Source organism: Homo sapiens, chromosome 1 (assembly GCF_000001405.40).
Source record: "Homo sapiens chromosome 1, GRCh38.p14 Primary Assembly".
NCBI classification, from domain to species: domain Eukaryota; kingdom Metazoa; phylum Chordata; class Mammalia; order Primates; family Hominidae; genus Homo; species Homo sapiens.
This window is the reverse complement of record NC_000001.11, coordinates 113,893,990-113,914,151: the sequence shown is the minus strand read 5'-3', so window position 1 is coordinate 113,914,151 and position 20,162 is coordinate 113,893,990. Positions and strand designations below refer to the sequence as shown.

Below are 20,162 nucleotides of genomic sequence, written 5' to 3'. Positions count from 1 at the left end.
ATCAAGAACTTAAAACTATAATCTAACTCCAGTAATTTACTTTAAGGAAATAAAAATGCAAAATATATGCATAAGGTTGTTCATTGTAATATATGTAATTAGAAAAACAGTACACAAAATGTTGAATATGGGAATGGCTTAGTTAAGGTATACTCACATGATAGGGTATTATACAAATATTAAAAATGGCATTTTTGAACAATATCTAATAAGTGAAATGCTTAAGATATCAAGAAATTAAAATGTAGGCTATAAAATTCTATACAATATTACCTCAACTTTGAAAAACATTTACATATTTAATACATCTACATGCATAGAAAAAAAAACTAAAAGATAGCAAATCAATTAATCTACGAGGAATTAAAATTTTTTGTTTTTTTGACTTTCAAAGTTTCTTATGTTATATACAGATTAATTTCTTTCAAGAACCAGAAGCTAAAGAGAACCAAAATCTGAAAGACCCATCCTGTGGCAGTCACTGAGCTAGGAGAATTTTACCAATTATTCAATCTCCATAGTAATCATGAGAGGTAGGAATCTCAAGTCCATCTTACAGATGAGGAACTAGGCTCCACAATTTAAGTAATTGCTCAGGGTGCCACAGATTCGAGCCTAGGCAGTCCCCATGTTTCCTGCTGCACCAAATGCCTCACCTGCTGTGGCTCCTAATAGGACGTTGGGAGACTTACAACAAAGGTCATTGACAAAACAGAGCTGTGTATAGCTTTCCCAAGAGCAATTGCTTTCTAAACTCTCTATTTCTCTCTCAAAGCAGAAAACTCTTTTAAATCCCCTGGACAAGAAATGGAATCTTCTTCACTGCTAGGGCTCGAGGTTCCATCCCAAAGCAGTTTTGATCCAGACGCCCAGCTCCACAAGTCTGTGCCCTCTCAGAGCCTACTCCCTCATAGCCGTGGTATCAGCTATCCTGCTTACTAGTTTGGCATTTTGTCAGGTTATGAGCAGAAGGACAGGGCAGACTGCACACCCCCACCCCTTCCCGCCAGCTGGCTCCTTGGTCTCTTCCTTGGATACTAAAACAAACAGGCTGTGTGCACTGGCTCCCTACATAATCCAAGGGGTGAGGGGAGCAACAAATATCCCAGCTATGTGAACAATTGGAGGAATATCTGACAACACATTTGATATTTTGTAACTGTTTCAGCCAAATAGGGTCTCCAGGCTGGGGAGTCCCTTCACACCCAAAGCCTTGTTGTTCAGCTGGGCTCTAGGTACTGCCTTGGAGAGAGCTGCCCAACCCCCCAGCTGGCTCTGTTCCACATGGATCCCAGTGATACTGGGATACTGCACATCCTCATGAAGGACATAGAGGTAGAATTTTCACTACTGTTCCAAGACCTCTTCATCGCTTCCTGTTCCCTCCCAGAGGCAGAGACAGGAAAATTATTTGGATGGTCACAGCAAGTCAGTGACGTTCAGGATTGAAGCATGCAGCGCCATAGTTCATAATTTTAAAAATAGAACTCCCTAGGGATTTTGATCTGAGAAGAGGGAGAAGGGGACATGGAGAATGGCTCATGACACCACAAAACAGCAACAGCAATAACCTGGTCCTTTTTGATTCAGACTCTTTACCTCTTTCTGTACCCACATAAGATGATTGCATGTTCACAAAAGTTTGAGAAATACTGGGTTAAACAAGGTTAAACAGATTAAGTTACTGTAGGACTTCAAAGAACTTTTAATTTGCTCACGCATACTCCAAAGATTTTATAAAAAAAGTATTTCTTAAACTTAGTTATAAAAAGAAGGATTCCATAGGCACGAGGACCCCAGTGAACAAGTTTTGGGAAGTGCTGCTCCACGGTGGGCCCATAAGAGTCTTGTAAAGATAGAAAAGTAGGCCCCAAAAACAAACTCTTTCCCACCAGCCATCAGTTACTATCTTCAAAACTGCAGTGTGGGCTCAATGTTGTCATTCTGTACTCTCCTGTCTTCAGCAGGGTTTATGGTATTTTTCCACTTGCTGGTCAAATCTCCTGGAAGAATACCCTGCCTGGAAAAAGTTCACTGGAGTCAGAAGATATTTGAGTGCTAGACCCCTGAATTCAGTAGCTAGAAGAGGGGTGCCCTTGCTGCTGTGGGACAGGGGAGAACCATGGCCCATCCAGGCACTCTGATTCCCTGTGGCTTCTGGACCTCCATCATCATCTCCCATGGGTACCAAGGGGGACCCTAAACCAATTTCCTCCCTGGTTTTTTGAGAAATAAACTCCTCATCTGTAGACCTTAAGTGCACTGAAAATCCCAGTGGGGCCGTCAACATAGTCACCCTCTTTTGAGACTCACAGAAAGGCACTGCCTTGTTCCATTCTTTGCTATAGAGATCTGGGAACAACTGCTTCTTGATCCGCAAAGGATGGTGGGAAGGCTGCTTTTCAAGGTCCGCAGGCCAGGGAGAAAGTTTCTCTTTCTTGGCCTTCTTTGAGTCTCTGTCAGCTTGAGATTGATCAGCACTTTCCTCAGGGGATTCAAACACAACACCTTGGGTTCTCGGCCTCTTTAGCCTCCTTTCTAACAGCCAGAGAAGGCTTGGTTTTCTAGAGGAAGAACTCATGTATTGCTGTACAGAGTCCGGAATCAGGGGCACGGAGATCCTGGGGCTCAGACTGTCCTGAAAGCCTCCACAGGGCCGCCGACTTACAATGGGCACCACCTGGCAAGGCTTCAGTGCTGCGACAAAGGCACGAAGCTCGGAGTAAGAGGAATGGTCAGAGTAAGGGATGACGTGGATATCAGGGTGGGAGCTGTGGATTTTTCGGCTTGTGGGAAGGATAGCAATCGTAGGGTGGGTCTGGTTCCAACGCAGCATGTTGGAATGGCAGATCTCCATATGGTCTACTGCATGGATGCGGCCAGCCTTCTCCTCCACTGTGAACACATCTGCCAGGCCCAGTAGCTGTACCAACTCCAGGCGCCGAGGACTCAATACCACCCAGGTCTGAAACTCCAGGGCCAGCTGCTCCAGCAGTGATTCCTTTCCCAGGCTGTAGAGTCCTAAATAATGTTCAATGTATTGGGGAAAGTAAGAGAAGGAAGAAAATTAAGCTATTGGAAAATCCTAATAAATCAACAAAATGTTTAACAAAAATAGATACAATTCATGGAGAAATCCAGGGAGAATATCAAGGAAGAGGTGGCATTTGAGCTAAGACATATGAAAGGGAATGACACAGAATCCACTCATTCATTTAGTTCAACAAAAGAGAGCATCTAGCAAGTTTCAGGCACCATGAAAACTAATAAAGAAAACTGTCAGTCCTCAAGAAGTACTATCTACAAGGAGACCCAGAAAAACCACAATTAAGAGCAACGTTAAAGATATGTGTACAGGCCGGGCACTGTGGCTCACACCTGTAAGCCTACAATTTTAGGAGGCTGAGGCAGGAGGATTGCTTGAGCCCAGGAGTTCAAGACCAACCTGGGCAACCTGGCAAGACCCTGTCTCTACAAAAATAAACAAATAAGCATGTTGGTGCACGCCTATAGTTCCTGGTACACAGGAAGCTGACGCGGGAGGATCACTTGAGTCCGGGAGGTCCAGGCTGCAGTGAGCTGTGATCATGCCACTACCCTCCAGCCTGGGCAACAGAGTGAGACCCTGTCTCTTAAAAAAAAACAAAAAAAGTATACAGTATTGTATCTAACAGGTGATGGAGTTAGGGAACGTTAGGCTAAATCTTAAAGGATGGGCAAGGTTAACCTGGCAAGGAAAGGGTAGAAAGGGTATAGTGGAAAACATTTTAAGAGGGGTCAGTTTGCTGTTACTAAAGTAAAAAAGGAATTGATAAGAAATGATACCAGAGAGGCAAGCAAGGGCCATATAATAGAGCGTCTTATATGTACCGCTAAGAAGCTTGGACTTCATTGTGTAAGTGAAGGGGAGCCACTGAGTGTGAAGCAGGAAAATGGCTAATTCTAATCATAAGAATAATATGCTCAGAGCAGGGCTTTAAAAAGAAAAATATGGTAATAATATTATTTGACTGCCAGGATGAGAAGAAGCTGGAGTGGAAGTTTCAATTGAAGGGCCCAAATAGTACTTACAGAGAAAGAAATGGAGACATTAATTTGGGAAATGGTTATGGTAACAGATATGGGAGATGTTGTTTAATAGCTGTTCTCAGACTTTTTCTGAAGAAGTTTCAAATCCACAACCAGATTGTGAACGCCATAAAAAGAAGTATATATTATTTATATCCACTTTATTCCTGATTATGGTTCAAAATCTCACTCCTTGGGCACAAATGGAGCGGATTTTTCTTCTCTCTATATATATTCCCACTTCCACCTCCCCACAGGTCCTTCCCTACCAGACTGTGAGCCCTCCAAGTCAGAGACTATATTTTATTCATCTTTATATCCCCACTGCCTATTGGATACTTGGTACTTAGTGGGTAGAGGCTTATTACATATTTGCAAAATTAATTAAGGCTTACTATAGCATCCTCCTAGCCAGCTTTGCTTTTTTGAGAAAATTCTGCATTAAAATATTAAGAATGGTTAGGTCTTTATAAGTAGCTAAGCAATCCTGAGAGTAGAGGATATTTCTCAATCGATTTGGTAGTCACCCTGGAAGTTATATAATTTTTTCAATGCCTTTGTTTAGTCTCATTTTGAAACTCCTTTCAGAGTTGAGACATGTCCTTTTCAAATATTTATAATGGTGGCAAGTCTTTGTCCTTTTGTAGACTCACAAATTTGGAAACAACCAAAAAAGTAATTTAGAACCAAATCTATTACATTTATTTATTTTATAAAACAAAAATGTATTTTCATAAACTATTCCAAATGGCAACTCCAAGAAAGAGTCCTCAACAATGTTTTATACTATTTATAATCAGTACAACAAGCACAAACCTGTTTTTTCAGTATACTTAATTTAAAGCACAACGCTCACTTAAATATCTATGTTCTGATAAATTTCATTCATTCATATTGAATGCTTCTGTGTCAGGCATTAGTGTAGGCATTTGTGATACACCCATAATAAAACAGAGACTGCCATAGTGGAATTCACATTCTAGCAGGGGGAATCAGACAATAAAAAGTCCAATAAATACATAAATTATAGAATATATTGCAAGGTGATGAGTGCATATTGTCCCTCTTCTACTTAAAATCCTTCAATAGCTCTTGGTTGGGTTTAGGATCAAGTCCAAAATGGCTTAACAGCACTTCAGCCCCTCTTGCCTTTTCAGCCTCCTTGCCCACTGTGTGCCTGTCATACTGACTGCTGCTTCTCTGTTCCACAAACACACAAAGTCTCTTCCCATTTCCAGTGATGCTCTTAAGGAGTTTATGCTTGTGTGTGTGTGTGTGTGCACGCGTATGTGCATGGGCCAGAGGAAGTGCATGATAGACAACAAGTAAGCAATAGCATATTTAAAAATATATATAGTATATGAGTGCTATAAAAAAATGAAAAAAATGAATTGGTATGGATGATCAGGAGTTGGGAATGGGGATGGTGGGCAGGTTGCAGTTTTACTTATTTCATTCATTCATTCATTTATTGAGACAGGGTCTTGCTCTGTCATCCAGGCTGGAGTGCAATGGCACTTACATGGCTCACTGCAACCTTGACCTCCTACTGGACCCAGGCAATCCTCCTGTCTCAGTCCCCTGTGTAGCTGGGACCACAGGCACGCACCATCGTGCCCAACTGATTTTTAAATTTTTTGTAGAGACAGGGTCTTGCCATGTTGCCCAAGCTGGTCTCAAACGCCTGGGCTCAAATGACCCTCCCATCTTGGCCTCCCAAAGTGCTGGGATTATAGGCATGAACCACCACACCTAGCCAGGTTGCAATTTTAAATAAGGTGGTCAGTGTAGGAGAAAGTGAGAACTGCACAAAGATCTGAAAGATGTGAGAATCCTTAAAGAATCTAGTTCACTATCTACAGGTGACAGGAAACTGAAAGGAAACAACTCACCAATCTTTATGTTATGTTGTGGGTGTTTTCGAATGAGCTGGACAATCTGGTGGGCAGCTTCTTGTCGGGAAGGAAGAACCAGGGCTGGATTGCAATTGGTGTTGTCTAGGTATAAAGTATGGATCTGTTTCCCCAGTGTCAGGGCTGGCTCCTTTAGCATGGATGGTGTGTATCGAAAATCACCTGGAGGAATATGTACATGGGGGCAGAAGGTCAGAGACAAAAGAATAGAAGACAAGCCTCTCCTACCTCCAACAATAGACAGGCGTTTGCTTACTAGTCTGTGAAAAAACTATTATGTAGCCTGGCACTGAACTAGGCAGTATAGCTGCATGGTTTCTTTGTTGTAATGTCTCCATCCTACTCCTATTTTTCAATTACTCTTCACAAGGTTCGGACCCTTAAAGAGTGGGAAATCGGCCAGGCGCAGTGGCTCACACCTGTAATCCCAGCACTTTGGGGGGCCGAGCCAGGTGGATCACCTGAGGTCAGGAGTTCGAGACCAGCCTGGCCAACATGGTGAAACCCCGTCTCTACTAATAGTAAATACGAAAATTAGCTGGGCGTGGTGGCAGGCGCCTGTCATCCCAGCTACTTGGGAGGCTGAGGCAAGAGAATCACTTGAACCCAGAAGGCGGAGGTTGCAGTGAGCCACAATCACGCCACTGCACTCCAGCCTGGGTGACAAGAGTGAAACTCCGTCTCAAAAAGAAGAAGGAAAAAAAAACAGTGGGAAATCAGTTGAGATGGGGTCACTATGCTCATATGTGATGAAGTTAGAAGGCCTCCAGCGCCTCCAGACTTCTATTGAGTTAAGGCTGCTCAAGAAAAGTCTGCCAGGTGTGGTGGCTTGTGCCAATAATCCTAGCTACTGTGGAGGCTGAAGCGGGAGGATTGCTTGAGGTCAGGAGTTTGAGACCAGCCTCGGCAACACTGCGAGGCCCCAGTCTATACATTAAAAAAAAAAAAAAAAAAAAAAAAAAAAAACATCTAGTCTGGAGAAGTCACTGGGATTCCTTGAGAGGCCCACCTGTGTAGAGGATGGTTCCAAAATATCCTTCAAAGAGAAACATGACAGAACCAGGACAGTGATTGGCATCGAGGAGGGTTACGGTCATGGTCTCTTGTCCAATTTCATCTAGGGGTAATACATGGCTCTCACCAACCTCCAGGGCTTGGATCCATTGCTTAGATACCTGAGAAAACAGTTAGTCATCCCAGTGACCACTGACTCCTCTCCGTTACCTCCCCGGGTCAGGGACTATCCCTTACATGAATCAGGAAAGCTGACCAAATCCTGAGCCACCGGGAGCAGAAGCTGTAATGGGGATTCCCAAGCAATCTGCCCTTCCTCCTTCCACTTCCCATCCCACCCTTTGTACAATTTAAGAGTTCAGCTGGCCGGGCGTGGTGGCTCACGCCTGTAATCCCAGCACTTTGGGAGGCTGAGGCGGGTGGATCACGAGGTCAGGAGATCGAGACCATCCTGGCTAACACGGTGAAACCCCGTCTCTACTAAAAAATACAAAAAAAATTAGCCAGGCGTGGTGGCGGGCGCCTGTAGTCCCAGCTACTCGGGAGGCTGAGGCAGGAGAATGGCGTGAACCCGGGAGGCGGAGCTTGCAGTGAGCCGAGTTTGCGCCACTGCACTCCAGCCTGGGCGACAGAGCGAGACTCCATCTCAAAAAAAAAAAAAGAGTTCAGCAAACAGTCTAGTCAGCAATTCCCAAACTTACTCCTGATCTTAATCTCTTGGAGACTTAAGGGTGGGGTGGGGAGAGAGCTGGAGAACCACCCAGCACATTAGGTGGATTCTTAAGATGAGGCAAGTTTAGGCGGGGCGTGGTGGCTCACGCTTGTAATCCCAGCACTTGGGGAGGCTGAGGCGGGCGGATCACTTAAGGTCAGGAGTTAGAGAACAGCCTGGCCAACATGGTGAAACCCCGTCTCCACAAAAAATACAAAAAATTAGCTGGGCGTGGTGGCGTGCGCCTGTAATCTCAGCTACTCAGGAGGCCGAGACAGGAGAATCGCTTGAACCCGGGAGGCGGAGGCTGCAGTGAGCCGAGATTGCGCCACTGCACTCCAGCCTGGGCAACAGAGCGAGACTCCGTCTCAAAAAAAAAAAAAAAAAAAAAAAAAAAAGGCAAGTTTGGGAAACATCGGCCTAGCTTACTTATAAAGGTAGGAATAGTTTCCTTGGCTGGATTAAAATATCTCCTCAACTTATGGCTAACTATCTCAAGTTGGTCACTTCGAAAACACGTTCCTATTCTGGGTTAAAGATGCATTTTTGGGTTCAAACAACTTCCAAATCAGTTTTCGTGGCCCCCATTCTATGACTCCAAGAATGACAGGTTGAAGTCCCAACCCAGATGCCTGGACCAGCTCTCGGAGACCGACTCCAGCCCCATACCTGTAGGTGACGATGCAAGAGGTGGGCTGTAATTGGGGAGCAGTAGAGGGGCCGGGCCCAGGTGCTAGACAGGCCCACGGTGTGGTCCGAGTGCATGTGAGACAAGAAGAAGAGACGTGCGGTGCCAGCCCGGCGCAGGCTCCAGAAGTCCACTGCGATGGGCGTATGGGGGATCAGGACCCCATTCATGGTGGTAGGGTTGGAGTCACCAGTGGGATCTTCTCCACGGGGGCAGGGCTCCTGCGTGAGGCTTCCACAACGGCGTCCCGATAAAAGTCATGCTGGGGCAAGAACAGGGCCAGAGACCCTAAGGGAAAGAGCCCAGCAGAGCAATAAGTTACCAGAGTGGGCAGAAAAAGGAAGTCACCCTGCCCGCTGGAGCCCAAATCGCGGAGGGCGCTGGACACTCCCAACCGCGCGGGAGCGGAGGCCGAGCCGGGCACTCAAAGCGCGCGCTGCAGGGAGGAGACAGGCCAAAGTAGCCGATTTCCGATTGCCCGCCGCAGCTCCACCAGAGGGAGCCGCGCAGCTGCGCCTGGAGAGTGAGAGGTTGGGGGAAGGGCATCCTAAGGTCGGAGTCGGGACTACGCTTAGCGCTCGCTCGCGGGGAGACCGGCAGCGGTCTTCTGTTTGGTCTCTTGACAAGGGGGCGGGACTTCCGCAGAAAGCAAGATTGGGCCTATCCGCGATGAGAACGGCGTGGAGGGGGAATTAAGGCTGGAACTGGAGAGGGAGGGGTCTGCGGTCAGTCGGACGCGGCGCTGGAAATCCGGCGGAGGACCTAGAAGTAGCGGGAGCGATCTGTGGGCGGGGCGAACGGCCTGCCGGCCGACGGTAGGGCCTGAAGAGCCTAGGGTGGGGCTCGCGGTGTCGCGGAGGGCGTGGAAGTGTGTCAGGGCCAGCGTGCCGGCCCTACGGAAGCCGAGCCTGAGGCGAGATCTCGCCTTTTGTATTTTCACTGACTCATATTTCCTTTACTCAGGCTCCCACATCAGGACGAGAAGGAGCCCTCGAGTTACCGTGGGAGCTGTGGGAGCTGCCCTGTGACTCTTAGGAAGATGCCGTACCTTGGCTCCGAGGACGTGGTGAAGGAGCTGAAGAAGGCTCTGTGCAATCCTCACATTCAAGCTGATAGGCTGCGCTACCGGAATGTCATCCAGCGAGTGATTAGGTATCACCTACCTCCCTTCGCGTGCTAACTGCTCCCTTTGCAATCCCCATCAGGGCTCACTAGCCCCAGTCTCTCTGAAAGGGTGAATTAGCTTTCACACGTGGCAGTTATATGGTTCGGTCTTCGTCCTGCTGCTTTGGAGTACCATGTCAGTCTCCCCTCTGCAGCATCTTTTACTCAGCTGGGTAGTTTCCTCCATATCACGGGCTTGAGCAATTACTGGTGACTCTTGGATCTATAATATAGCTAGTACAGACTTCCTTTTTTAGCTTCAGACCCACGTATCCCACTGCCTGCTTGGCATTTCCACGTGCGTGGTTTATCAAAAGTATGTCCGAAATAGCCCGGACATTCTTCCGTCTTCCTCAAACCTGTTCAGCTTACATTTGTGTTGATGAATGCCACCAGCAGCCGACTATGCGTGGGAGCCAACCTTGAGGACACCTGATCTCTCACTTCTTATGTCAGATGGTTTGAATTCATAATTCTAAATATCCATCCTCTCTTGTTTATTAGCATTGTTGTTCTGGTCCAGGCCTTCATCAATAAAGCAATTGCAGCAGCTTACTAGTAGGCCACTTTGCCTCATTTGAGACAGAATTTTTCCATTATACATACCTGAACACATAACTCTTGCCTACAGCTATGGTTCACAAACTTTACTATGCATAAAAATCCCTTGGGGTGCTTTTTGTCATCCAGTCCAGGGACTGATTCTGATTTCAGTAGGGTGGGAGGGAACCCAGGAATCTGTATTTTTAATAAACATTTCAGTTGGTTCCAGTAGGAGACCAGTCTGAGAAACAATAAAGTCCAAACTTATCACAGCACCCAAGGAACAAGCTGTTAATTCAACTACCTACAGACTCTTAAAAAAATGTGTGCTGCTCCTGCTCATGTCTACTTACCTCATAGCATGTATCTTTACCTTGCTATTACATCTGCCTAGTGAGCTCCTGCTCATTCAGCTAAAGTATTACTTCCTCTGTGAAGAAACATTTTCTGACTTCCTGCCAGTGTCAGACCTCTGAATCCCCTCTACACCTTGTACAATACTTCTGTTTAAGTACTTATCTATCATACTGTAATTAACGGTATTCTCATCTGGCTCATTAATAGATTTGAAGTTCCTAGAGGTTTGAGACCACACCTTCTTCAAGATTATGTCCCAAGAGCATGTCCCTGGATGTAAAAGTTGAATTTCACCAAAGTACTAGGGATTCAATAAGTGTTTGTTGAGGCTGGGTGCGGTGGCTCACGCTGGTAATCCCAGCACTTTGGGAGGCCAAGGCGGGTGGATCACCTGCAGTCAGGAGTTCGAGACCAGCCTGGCCAACATGGAGAAACCCCGTCTCTACTAAAAATACAAAAATTAGCTGGGCGTGGTGGCACGCACCTGTAGTCCCAGCTACTCGGGAGGCTGAGGCAGGAGAATCGCTTGAACCTGGGAAGCGGAGCTTATAATGAGCCGAGATTGTGCCACTGCACTCTAGCCTGGGTAACAGAGCAAGACTCTGTCTCAAAAATAATAATAAGTGTTTGTTGAATGAATAGAAGAATAATGTTTATTGTAGGCCTATGGTATGAAGTACTGTGTGATATAATAGACAAGGTAATCCTGGCTGCTACCCTCTAAGAGATCACAATCTAGTTGGGTAATCAGGAGATATGTAAGTAAAACTCCCTCCATTGTAAGTTGGGGATTTTGCATTTTACTTCCTTCTGTCATGTGCGTTGTTCAGGTACATGACTCAAGGCTTGGACATGTCTGGTGTTTTTATGGAAATGGTGAAGGCCAGTGCCACTGTAGATATTGTCCAGAAGAAGTTGGTTTATCTGTACATGTGCACATATGCTCCCCTGAAACCAGATCTGGCTCTCCTGGCCATCAATACGCTGTGCAAAGACTGCTCAGACCCCAATCCAATGGTGCGAGGGCTGGCGTTACGGAGCATGTGTAGCCTCAGGTGAGTACCCTCTTCTCTGTCTGGTCCTAAATGGCTGATGAATTCAAGTGATCACAGGGTAGGTTTTTAAAGAGGATAATTTATTTGAGCTCCTTAATACTGGGGAAAACATTATTGTACCCTGAACTCAGATTTTCAGCCACTGCTTTGGCTTAATAACCTGTATCATATAATTTTATTAGAGGGAGTTTTTGATTCTCACTCTAAGTAAAATAGTCCTCAGTTTTGGTTAAATATCTCTAAACAATTATGTGTATATCTTTTTTTGCTGCCTGTGCATCATTATTCCAAATGAAAAGTCAAATTAGGCTGGGCACAGTGGCTCATGCCTGTAGACCCAGCACTTTGGGAGGCTTAGACAGGAAGATTGCTTGAGCCCAGGAATTTGAGACCAGCTGGGCAAGATGGTGAGAGCCTATATCTACAAAAAATTAAATGGGCATGGTGACACGCACCTGTAGTCTCAGCTACTAGGAAGGCTGAGGCAGGAGGATGGCTTGGGCCCGGGAATTCAAGGCAGCAGTGAGCTATGATCGGGCCACTGGGTGACAAAGTGAGACCCCATCTTGAAAAAAACAAGAAAAAAACAGAAAAGTCAAATTATGGCTTTTTAAGCTTGATAGAGGCTTTCTGCAATTCTTCATGATCTGATGGGTGCAGCATCTACTAAACCATCTGTTAGGTGAACAGGGGCTGAGGTATGTCAAAATTAGTATTTCAGAATCTGGCTAACTCCAGGATGTGTTGCTTAGGATGCCTGGTGTGCAGGAGTATATACAACAGCCTATTCTCAATGGTCTGCGGGATAAGGCTTCATATGTCAGGAGAGTGGCAGTCCTTGGATGTGCCAAGATGCATAATCTTCATGGAGACTCTGAAGTAGGTAAGTTCAGTGTAATCCATCATGGTCAATGTGCCTCCATTATGTATAACTTTAAAAAAGATTGTGTGGCTTTGGTAGAAAATAATAATGTGGCCCCAGTTCTGTACATATCTCTTTAAGTAGGATGCAGGGCTTGGTATCTTCTGGAGATGAGAAGTCCTTTCTCTGGGGCCCCAATGAGATCCTTTGTATTAGCTGCTTAGAACAGTCTGGACATGGCAGTTTTTTTTTTGCCTTGCACTTTAGTGTGGCCTTTGTCATTTTTGTAGCAGAGAAGTTCAACTTTGTCTACCTGGAGCTATTACTCTGGCTACATCCTTGTTACTCTGAAGCTTTCCTTCTTTATCTAAGAACTTTGTTCTTTTTTATAGATGGTGCCCTGGTAAATGAATTATACAGTTTGCTGCGTGACCAGGATCCAATTGTAGTTGTGAACTGCTTGAGGTCTCTAGAGGAAATTCTGAAACAGGAAGGAGGCGTTGTCATCAATAAGCCCATTGCTCACCATCTCTTAAATCGGTTTGGATGCCTCAGCACTCTTTTTATTATGAGATCTGCTACCTTGTGGGATCTTGTTGATGTATTAAAGTATTGAACAACTTATGTGGGGTAGAAAAGAAAGTTAACCATTATTATTATTATTATTTGAGACGGAGTTTTGCTCTTGTTGTCTAAGCTGGAGTGCAATGGCGCTATCTCGGCTTACCGCAACCTCCGCCTCCTGGGTTCAAGCAATTCTCCTGCCTCAGCCTCCCGAGTAGCTGGGATTATAGGCATGCGCCACCATGCCCGGCTAATTTTGTATTTTTAGTAGAGACAGGGTTTCACCATGTTGGTCAGGCTGGTCCCAAACTTCTGACCTCAGGTGATCCGCCCGCCTCAGCCTCCCAAAGTGCTGGGATTACAGACGTGAGCCACTGCGCCCGGCCAGTTAACCACTATTAACTCCCTCACATTCCACTGAGAGAATTTCTTTTATTTGCCTTACTTTCCCTTATTGATATAGGGAAATAGAAATATACTGTGGGAATAGGTTCTACCCTTCTCTAGTCATGTCCCCCAAACTAAGCCATTTATAGTGTCTTAAAATGTAAGGAACCTGGACCCAGTGTATGCTGATCATGTCTTTGGTCTTAGAGGAGTGTGCATTTGTATTAACAACTCATCTTGGAATTTTAAGCCTTTTTTGTGTAAACTTTAAATAGTACATGAAAAGTGACTTAATTATGGCACAGCCTATTTTTAAGAATTCTCCCTTTGCTATGATGAACAACCACCTGGTCATATGGCAGTGGCATGGAAATGGTCCTAATTTTGTTGCTAAAATAGCTCTTTTGTTTTGTTTTTTGGATAGAATGTCAAAACTGGACCAATGGGGCCAGGCTGAAGTATTGAACTTTCTGCTACGCTACCAACCCCGCAGTGAGGAAGAACTATTTGACATTCTCAATCTGTTGGATAGTTTCCTCAAGAGCAGTAGCCCAGGTGTGGTGATGGGAGCTACCAAACTTTTTCTGATCTTGGCAAAAATGTTTCCCCACGTACAAACTGATGTCCTTGTGCGGGTCAAGGGACCTTTGCTAGCTGCCTGTTCTTCAGAGAGCCGTGAGCTCTGTTTTGTTGCTCTTTGTCATGTACGCCAGATCTTGCATAGTTTACCAGGTCACTTTAGCAGCCACTACAAAAAGTTTTTTTGCTCCTACTCGGAGCCCCACTACATCAAACTACAGAAAGTGGAGGTGCTGTGTGAACTGGTGAACGATGAGAATGTGCAGCAGGTGCTAGAGGAGCTTCGAGGGTACTGCACGGATGTGTCTGCGGACTTTGCACAGGCTGCCATCTTTGCCATAGGTAGGTGTCTGCTCCTTTTCCTTCTTGAGAACCTAGACCAGCCAGCAAGAAAACTGTGGTTAGAGGAACCATAGAGAGCAAAGGGCATGAATCTTGCTTCAGAAGCAAAGTACTATGCACTAAATAATTGGGTCAGTGACTACAAACACGGGGGAAGAGAGTTTTTTTTTGTTTTTTGTTTTTTTTTGGTCAAGATTGGTGTTGCTGTATCTTCCAGGATGGAGAATACAGGTAACACAAACTACAATACTTAAAATTGTTGTTGTCTTCTATCCAAAATGCTTTCCTATACATCATCTTACCACAGTATCGTGAGACAGTCAGGAAAAGTAGACAAATGTCATTAACTTCATTTTAAAGATGAAGAAACTCAGGCACAAAAACAGTTATCAAATTGCCAAAAGGGCACATAGTTTTAGAAATGGGACTGAAATCCAGCTTTCCTGACTCAAAGTCCTATGTTAATCCACCAGTCATTTATTGAGCTTCTGCTATGGGCTATGTATTGTGCTGAATGTAGACCAACACAGAATAATTCCTAAATCTTACAGACTTTTTCATAGTACCCTGTCTGGAATTTGAAAGGCTGGAGTGACTCAAAAACTGAAAACAGCTGTTGAGCCAAGTTTTGAAGGATTTCAAGTACAGGAGGAGGAGCAACCCTCATATTTGGAATAAAGCATGGTTATTTTAGGGGCAGAGAAGAGGGAGCAAAGAGGAGACAAGAAATCCTTAGGAGACTGCTGTCAAGTGTCCCCCACAAAAATACTCCATTGCAGGTGTGCTGCAACAAAAAGGGTACCTCATATCTGGCTGCCATGTAAATACCTTTGTTACTATAAGTTTTCAACCTTGTTTAATGGGGAATTGTTTTGCTATGAGCTTTCAGTTTTCTAGTAGTCAGTGAGAAAAAATGATTTTTACCAAAGTTCCCTTTATAGTAAACTTATATTCTTAGTTCATCAAGTAAGGAGTGAATTTTTTTCTTTTTTTTTTTTTTAGATAATTCTGTTTCTTTTGTCTTTCACTGGTGGGAGATGATTTTAGATTGAGGTGCTAATATTTCACTTAGCAGTTTTCTCTGCTTTCCCTTCTTTTGTAGGTGGCATTGCCAGGACTTACACAGATCAATGTGTTCAGATTTTAACAGAGTTGCTGGGTCTTCGACAAGAGCACATTACCACAGGTAATGCCTGCCTTTTTAGGATTTTTGTTTTTTTTGTCAGGTGCCTGGCCTATAGTAGTTGCTCAAAACATGTTTGTTGTTGAATGAGTAATATAGAGATTTGAACTTTTCCTTGCATCATCATCTGTTGCTGTTAGAGAAGCATAAAGTCTATAGATCTAATAGGATATTGAGTCTTCAGGCTGCCATGATCTATAAGGCTGTACTATAGATAATGAAGGCTACTAGGATGACCTTGCTTGATATTTCACCATCTTTACTTCTCTTTTTGTTTTATGGCAGTATGCCATAGGCAGTGGCTTCCAGGGTTGGGACAAGGGTAAGTCAAGCAAGATGCCTAGGATGCAAAATTTAAGAAGGCACTCACTCTTAGGTTCCTGCAAGAGCCAATCCTGCATGTCTTCTTCAATTTTGAACCCTAGGCACCTCACTTGTGTTATCATTTTCCCAGGCCTGGTGGTTCTATTTATACTGTCTTTAGTGTTTCATTCAACAGCAATACTACCCCACATTTGCATACAGCTTTATGTTTTACAAAGTGCTTTTTCATACATTAGTTCATTTATCCTCATGTCAATCTGATAAGAGCAATATGCATTCAAGAAATTATTGCTTATTTCATTACATTTCTTAGATAACCATTGACCACACCTCCAAAACCCATTTTACAGAAATCCAGCCAGAATCATGAGTCTGAATACATGACTGTTCTTAAGATTCCTGCCTACCTGGAGGCTCTAATCCTGTGCTCTTGTACCCTGGCCTGTATTGTAGTGGTGGTGCAGACTTTCCGAGACCTGGTTTGGTTGTGTCCTCAGTGTACTGAAGCTGTATGTCAGGCCCTGCCCGGCTGTGAAGAGAACATTCAAGATAGTGAGGTAGACTGTAATTCTCCTTTACTTCTAGGTAGGGGGAGAATGCTTGAAACCCTGCCCTTTGAAATGGAATCTAATTATTCTCTCTACCCTGTGTTTGAAGTGGGCACTCTTCGAATTGATTGCCACCTTAGATTCTCTTTTGGATATAGATGGCATATAAATTATAAAAACAAGATTTATCCGACGGGTTTTATTACAAAACTGTGATACCATTGTTCTCTTGAACAGTTCTGTTTTGTTTTGTTTTGCTTTGCTTGAGATAGAGTTGCCCAGGCTGGAGTGCAGTGGCGTGATCTCGGCCCACTGCAACCTCTACCTCCCAAACTCAAGTGATTCTCTTGCCTCAGCCTCCTGAGTAGAGTAGCTGTGATTACAGGTGTGCACCACCACGCCCAGCTAATTTTTGTATTTTTAGTAGAGAGGGTTTTGCTATGTTGTCTAGGCTGGTCTAGAATTCCTAGCCTCAAGTGATCACCCACCTCAGCATCCCAGAGAGCTAGGATTACAGGCATAAGCCACTGTGCCCCGCTTCTCTTGAACAGTTTTGAGTCAGAGATTTAGACCATGGAGTTTTTAGCTAGAATGAAAATTATAATCATTTGTGAAATTTTTACAAAGATTTGGACGTAATCACAGGTCTACTGACTTAAATATTCAGGGGTGTTGGACCTAGACAGATAACTTTTTTTTTTTTTTTGAAACAGAGTCTAGCTCTGTTGCCCAGGCTGGAGTGCAGTAATGCCATCTTAGCTCACTGCAACTTCCGCCTCCTGGTTTCAAGCAATTCTCCTGCCTCAGGCTCCCGAGTAGCTGGAACTACAGGTGTGCACCACCACGCCTGGCTAATTTTTGTATTTTTAATAGAGACGGGTTTCACCATATTGGCCAGGCTGGTCTCGAACTCCTGACCTCAGGTGATCCACCCTCCTCGGCCTCCCAAAGTGCTGGGATTACAGACGTAAGCCACCGTGCCCGGCTGACAGATACATTTTTAAGAAGCTTCACAGATGACTCTGATGTGCACTCTAGGTTAGTAACCATTTTTGTGAAAAATTTAGAGAAATTCTTTGAGCAGCTTCCACTGAAACACTAAAACCCAATAGGGCCAAAGGCCCCAAACCTGAGGAAACCTTATTTATTGCTTAATCCAACATAGGCTATGAAAGTTTTGAGTTTCCTCTTGTGTATTAGAATTTCATTCCTATTTGTTGTAGAGAGTATAGTACGGGGAATCAGTAAATTAAATGAAGTAAACTAAAGATTACACCTTTTCTGCTGGCACTAAGCGAAAAGCAAAACCAGTGGCTGTCTATTATCTCCTGTGTTTTAGACAGTCAAGTGTTGAGCACTTGCTCTTATTCCTTTATTCTCTAGGGGAAGCAAGCACTTATTTGGCTACTTGGTGTCCATGGGGAAAGAATTCCTAATGCTCCTTATGTGTTAGAGGACTTTGTTGAGAATGTGAAGTCGGAAACATTTCCAGCTGTTAAGATGGAGCTGCTCACTGCTTTGCTGCGCCTTTTCCTCTCCCGACCTGCTGAGTGCCAGGACATGCTAGGACGTTTGTTGTATTACTGCATAGGTGGGTTTTTCAGAAGGAAATAGTATTTGCCATGACCCATAGTAAAAATTCTTAATAGCTTTCATTGTTTGGTGAGTCACGTCTGGGACCCGAGAAGAAAATGTGAATGCTTCCTAGGTTTTCCTCTCTCCTTCATTTTTTTCTCCTATTATGGTTGGCACAAGAGTAGGAGGAAAGTGGTTTTGTTTTTAATGAAGTCAATCTGTTGTCTTACCTCAGAGGAAGAAAAAGATATGGCTGTACGGGACCGAGGTCTCTTCTATTATCGCCTCCTCTTAGTTGGCATTGATGAAGTTAAGCGGATTCTGTGTAGCCCTAAATCTGACCCTACTCTTGGACTTTTGGAGGATCCGGCAGAAAGACCTGTGAATAGCTGGGCCTCAGACTTCAACACACTGGTGCCAGTGTATGGCAAAGCCCACTGGGCAACTATCTCTAAATGCCAGGGGGCAGAGCGTTGTGACCCAGAGCTTCCTAAAACTTCATCCTTTGCCGCATCAGGTAAAAACAGTCCTTACCTTAAATCTTGTCATGATAAATCTTTACCTTTTCAATGATTGGTGGAAAGTAGAGTATCTTAGCACTAAACCTCAGACTGTTGCCTGAATTTGAAGCATTTGTGAGCAAGAAAGAGGTTCGTCACTGGTTATTTCAGCCATTTGTCCAAAAATAAAAGTCACATTGTGTACATTTGGGAATTTGGATAAAAAACTTAGCTCCTACAGATTAAGAACATCTTTCACACAAGTTTTCTGTCTCTTTTAGGACCCTTGATTCCTGAAGAGAACAAGGAGAGGGTACAAGAACTCCCTGATTCTGGAGCCCTCATGCTAGTCCCCAATCGCCAGCTTACTGCTGATTATTTTGAGAAAACTTGGCTTAGCCTTAAAGTTGCTCATCAGCAAGTGTTGCCTTGGCGGGGAGAATTCCATCCTGACACCCTCCAGATGGCTCTTCAAGTAGTGAACATCCAGACCATCGCAATGAGTAGGGCTGGGTCTCGGCCATGGAAAGCATACCTCAGTGCTCAGGATGATACTGGCTGTCTGTTCTTAACAGAACTGCTATTGGAGCCTGGAAACTCAGAAATGCAGATCTCTGTGAAACAAAATGAAGCAAGAACGGAGACGCTGAATAGTTTTATTTCTGTATTAGAAACTGTGATTGGAACAATTGAAGAAATAAAATCATAACAGAGTCTTGTTGCTTGTCTAGAGTAAGATGAATAACTATTACACTTTCTTAGTCTTTCCTATTAGAGCTGCCAGTAAGTCCAGATAATATCAGATACAAAGGAGAGTGGAAAATCTAGAAATCAGGATTCTTAAGTTTTTGGCCAAAGAACATTGATTCATTCCTTTCATTCCTATTGGCAATTGACCCCATTTTTCAGTGATGATGTTGTAGAGGTTAATGTTGGTAAGGAGATGCGTTGAGGATGGGATTTGGATTATTTCCTAATCAATTTTAGGAATTGTGTTAGTAATTAAAGATGGCTGATGTGTGGAAACTGATAGGGGTCATCATTTGTGGGGGTCATCTTTTCTTCCCTGGATTATTATAGTAAATTCCTAACTGTTCTCATATTTCCAATCATGCTTTTAGGCCAGATTCCAAAGTCCTTAATGTCATCTAAAGTACCTCTTTGGTGTCAAGTCTTGCCACTCCCAAAATGACTTCTTTTCTGGCAGAAGCAAACCATTTGCATTGCAGTTCCCTTTATACACCTGCTTCTTTCACCTCTGTGTTAACTTAAACCTGCTTTTATTTATTGCCTGGAACATTTTCTCACCCTCATATCTTCTTGAATTAACACCTCGTCTATCTTTCAGTGTTCAGCTCACTCATAAGCTCCTTCAGGAAGTTTCCTTTAACCCTCACTGCCTTCATTAGGGGCCTCCCTCAAGCTATCAAAGTAGCCAGAGCATACCTCTAGCAGTAGTATTGTAATTGTTTTCTTGTTGCTTGTCCTCAATTTTTATTCTGTTCTTATCTGACCACATTTTGTACATTGAAGCAACTTATGGCAAGAACAAATCTAATAAAATGATGGTAAAATATAAATAGCGAATCCAGAATGGGAAAAATTAAAATACCAGTTAAGACCAGCTAGGTTGGGGATGGGGAAATATACAAATGTTCAGGCTGTATGGGCCTATTAGGTGATATAGTTGAGCCTTGATTTGTCTCTATAGGTGATTTAGCAGTCAGAGTTAAGGGAAACAGTTATAATTGTCATCAGAGAGGAAGAAACATTGATTTCTAAAA

At 44.0% G+C, this 20,162-nt stretch overlaps 2 protein-coding genes and 1 long non-coding RNA gene across 24 annotated transcripts in view, besides 3 other annotated features; 1 reads left to right on the top strand and 2 right to left on the bottom strand.

Moving 5' to 3' along the window:
- On the bottom strand, positions 66–9,533 carry DCLRE1B (DNA cross-link repair 1B). 5 transcript variants are annotated; one of them, NM_001363690.2, is made up of 5 exons: positions 8,377–8,826; positions 6,991–7,156; positions 5,961–6,143; positions 2,314–3,021; positions 72–2,020 (listed from the first exon to the last, which is right to left on the bottom strand). In NM_001363690.2, exons 1-5 carry the CDS (start codon positions 8,563–8,565, stop codon positions 1,995–1,997), a joined length of 1,272 nt encoding a protein of 423 aa, NP_001350619.1. In that variant the 5' UTR covers positions 8,566–8,826; the 3' UTR covers positions 72–1,994. The 5 variants fall into 5 exon arrangements, with proteins under 5 accessions (NP_001306876.1, NP_073747.1, NP_001306875.1 ...); NM_001319947.2 differs by lacking the exon at positions 6,991–7,156 and adding an exon at positions 9,444–9,533 and having other exon boundaries at positions 66–3,021; positions 8,377–8,683; NM_022836.4 differs by having other exon boundaries at positions 66–3,021.
- Positions 8,938–8,987: an enhancer, noted in NCBI's record as "active region_1541". NCBI's record gives its function as "activates an Ori minimal core promoter by ATAC-STARR-seq in GM12878 lymphoblastoid cells {active_cell/tissue: GM12878}" and the evidence as "EXISTENCE:reporter gene assay evidence [ECO:0000049][PMID:35858748]".
- Positions 9,018–9,577: an enhancer, noted in NCBI's record as "active region_1540". NCBI's record gives its function as "activates an Ori minimal core promoter by ATAC-STARR-seq in GM12878 lymphoblastoid cells {active_cell/tissue: GM12878}" and the evidence as "EXISTENCE:reporter gene assay evidence [ECO:0000049][PMID:35858748]".
- Positions 9,124–19,958, top strand: AP4B1 (adaptor related protein complex 4 subunit beta 1). Of its 17 annotated transcripts, none has more exons than NM_001253853.3 (11): positions 9,124–9,210; positions 9,359–9,547; positions 11,418–11,514; positions 12,267–12,397; positions 12,769–12,916; positions 13,752–14,248; positions 15,351–15,434; positions 16,209–16,312; positions 17,687–17,894; positions 18,114–18,395; positions 18,660–19,958. In NM_001253853.3, the coding sequence occupies exons 3-11, from the start codon at positions 11,474–11,476 to the stop codon at positions 19,085–19,087; spliced, it is 1,923 nt and encodes a 640-aa protein (NP_001240782.1). In that variant the 5' UTR covers positions 9,124–9,210; positions 9,359–9,547; positions 11,418–11,473; the 3' UTR covers positions 19,088–19,958. The 17 variants fall into 17 exon arrangements, 16 of the variants coding, with proteins under 16 accessions (NP_001240782.1, NP_006585.2, NP_001425302.1 ...); NM_006594.5 differs by having other exon boundaries at positions 11,290–11,514; NM_001438373.1 differs by having other exon boundaries at positions 9,124–9,231; positions 11,290–11,514.
- Positions 9,658–9,717: an enhancer, noted in NCBI's record as "active region_1539". NCBI's record gives its function as "activates an Ori minimal core promoter by ATAC-STARR-seq in GM12878 lymphoblastoid cells {active_cell/tissue: GM12878}" and the evidence as "EXISTENCE:reporter gene assay evidence [ECO:0000049][PMID:35858748]".
- The window catches only part of AP4B1-AS1 (AP4B1 antisense RNA 1), an 88,626-nt gene continuing 81,378 nt past the window's right edge, over positions 12,915–20,162 (bottom strand). For both annotated transcript variants that reach the window (NR_125965.1, NR_037864.1), the window contains exons 4-5: positions 16,163–16,284; positions 12,915–14,280 (exon numbers count right to left, since the gene is read on the bottom strand). This is a non-coding gene — a long non-coding RNA (AP4B1 antisense RNA 1). The remainder of the gene's footprint in view (positions 14,281–16,162; positions 16,285–20,162) is intronic.

What these genes read in the sequence shown, in the direction of transcription:
- DCLRE1B (NM_022836.4), bottom strand. Translation starts at nt 8,565, where the DNA reads ATGAATGGGGTCCTGATCCCCCATACGCCCATCGCAGTGGACTTCTGG. An exon ending in TGGAACCATCCTCTACACAG is followed by an intron (nt 6,144 to 6,990) that starts GTGGGCCTCTCA and finishes ATATTCCTCCAG; the next exon opens with GTGATTTTCGATACACACCA. An exon ending in ACAACATAACATAAAGATTG is followed by an intron (nt 3,022 to 5,960) that starts GTGAGTTGTTTC and finishes AACATTATTTAG; the next exon opens with GACTCTACAGCCTGGGAAAG.
- AP4B1 (NM_006594.5), top strand. Translation starts at nt 9,435, where the DNA reads ATGCCGTACCTTGGCTCCGAGGACGTGGTGAAGGAGCTGAAGAAGGCT. An exon ending in GTCATCCAGCGAGTGATTAG is followed by an intron (nt 9,548 to 11,289) that starts GTATCACCTACC and finishes TGCGTTGTTCAG; the next exon opens with GTACATGACTCAAGGCTTGG. An exon ending in ACAAGAGCACATTACCACAG is followed by an intron (nt 15,435 to 16,208) that starts GTAATGCCTGCC and finishes CCTGTATTGTAG; the next exon opens with TGGTGGTGCAGACTTTCCGA.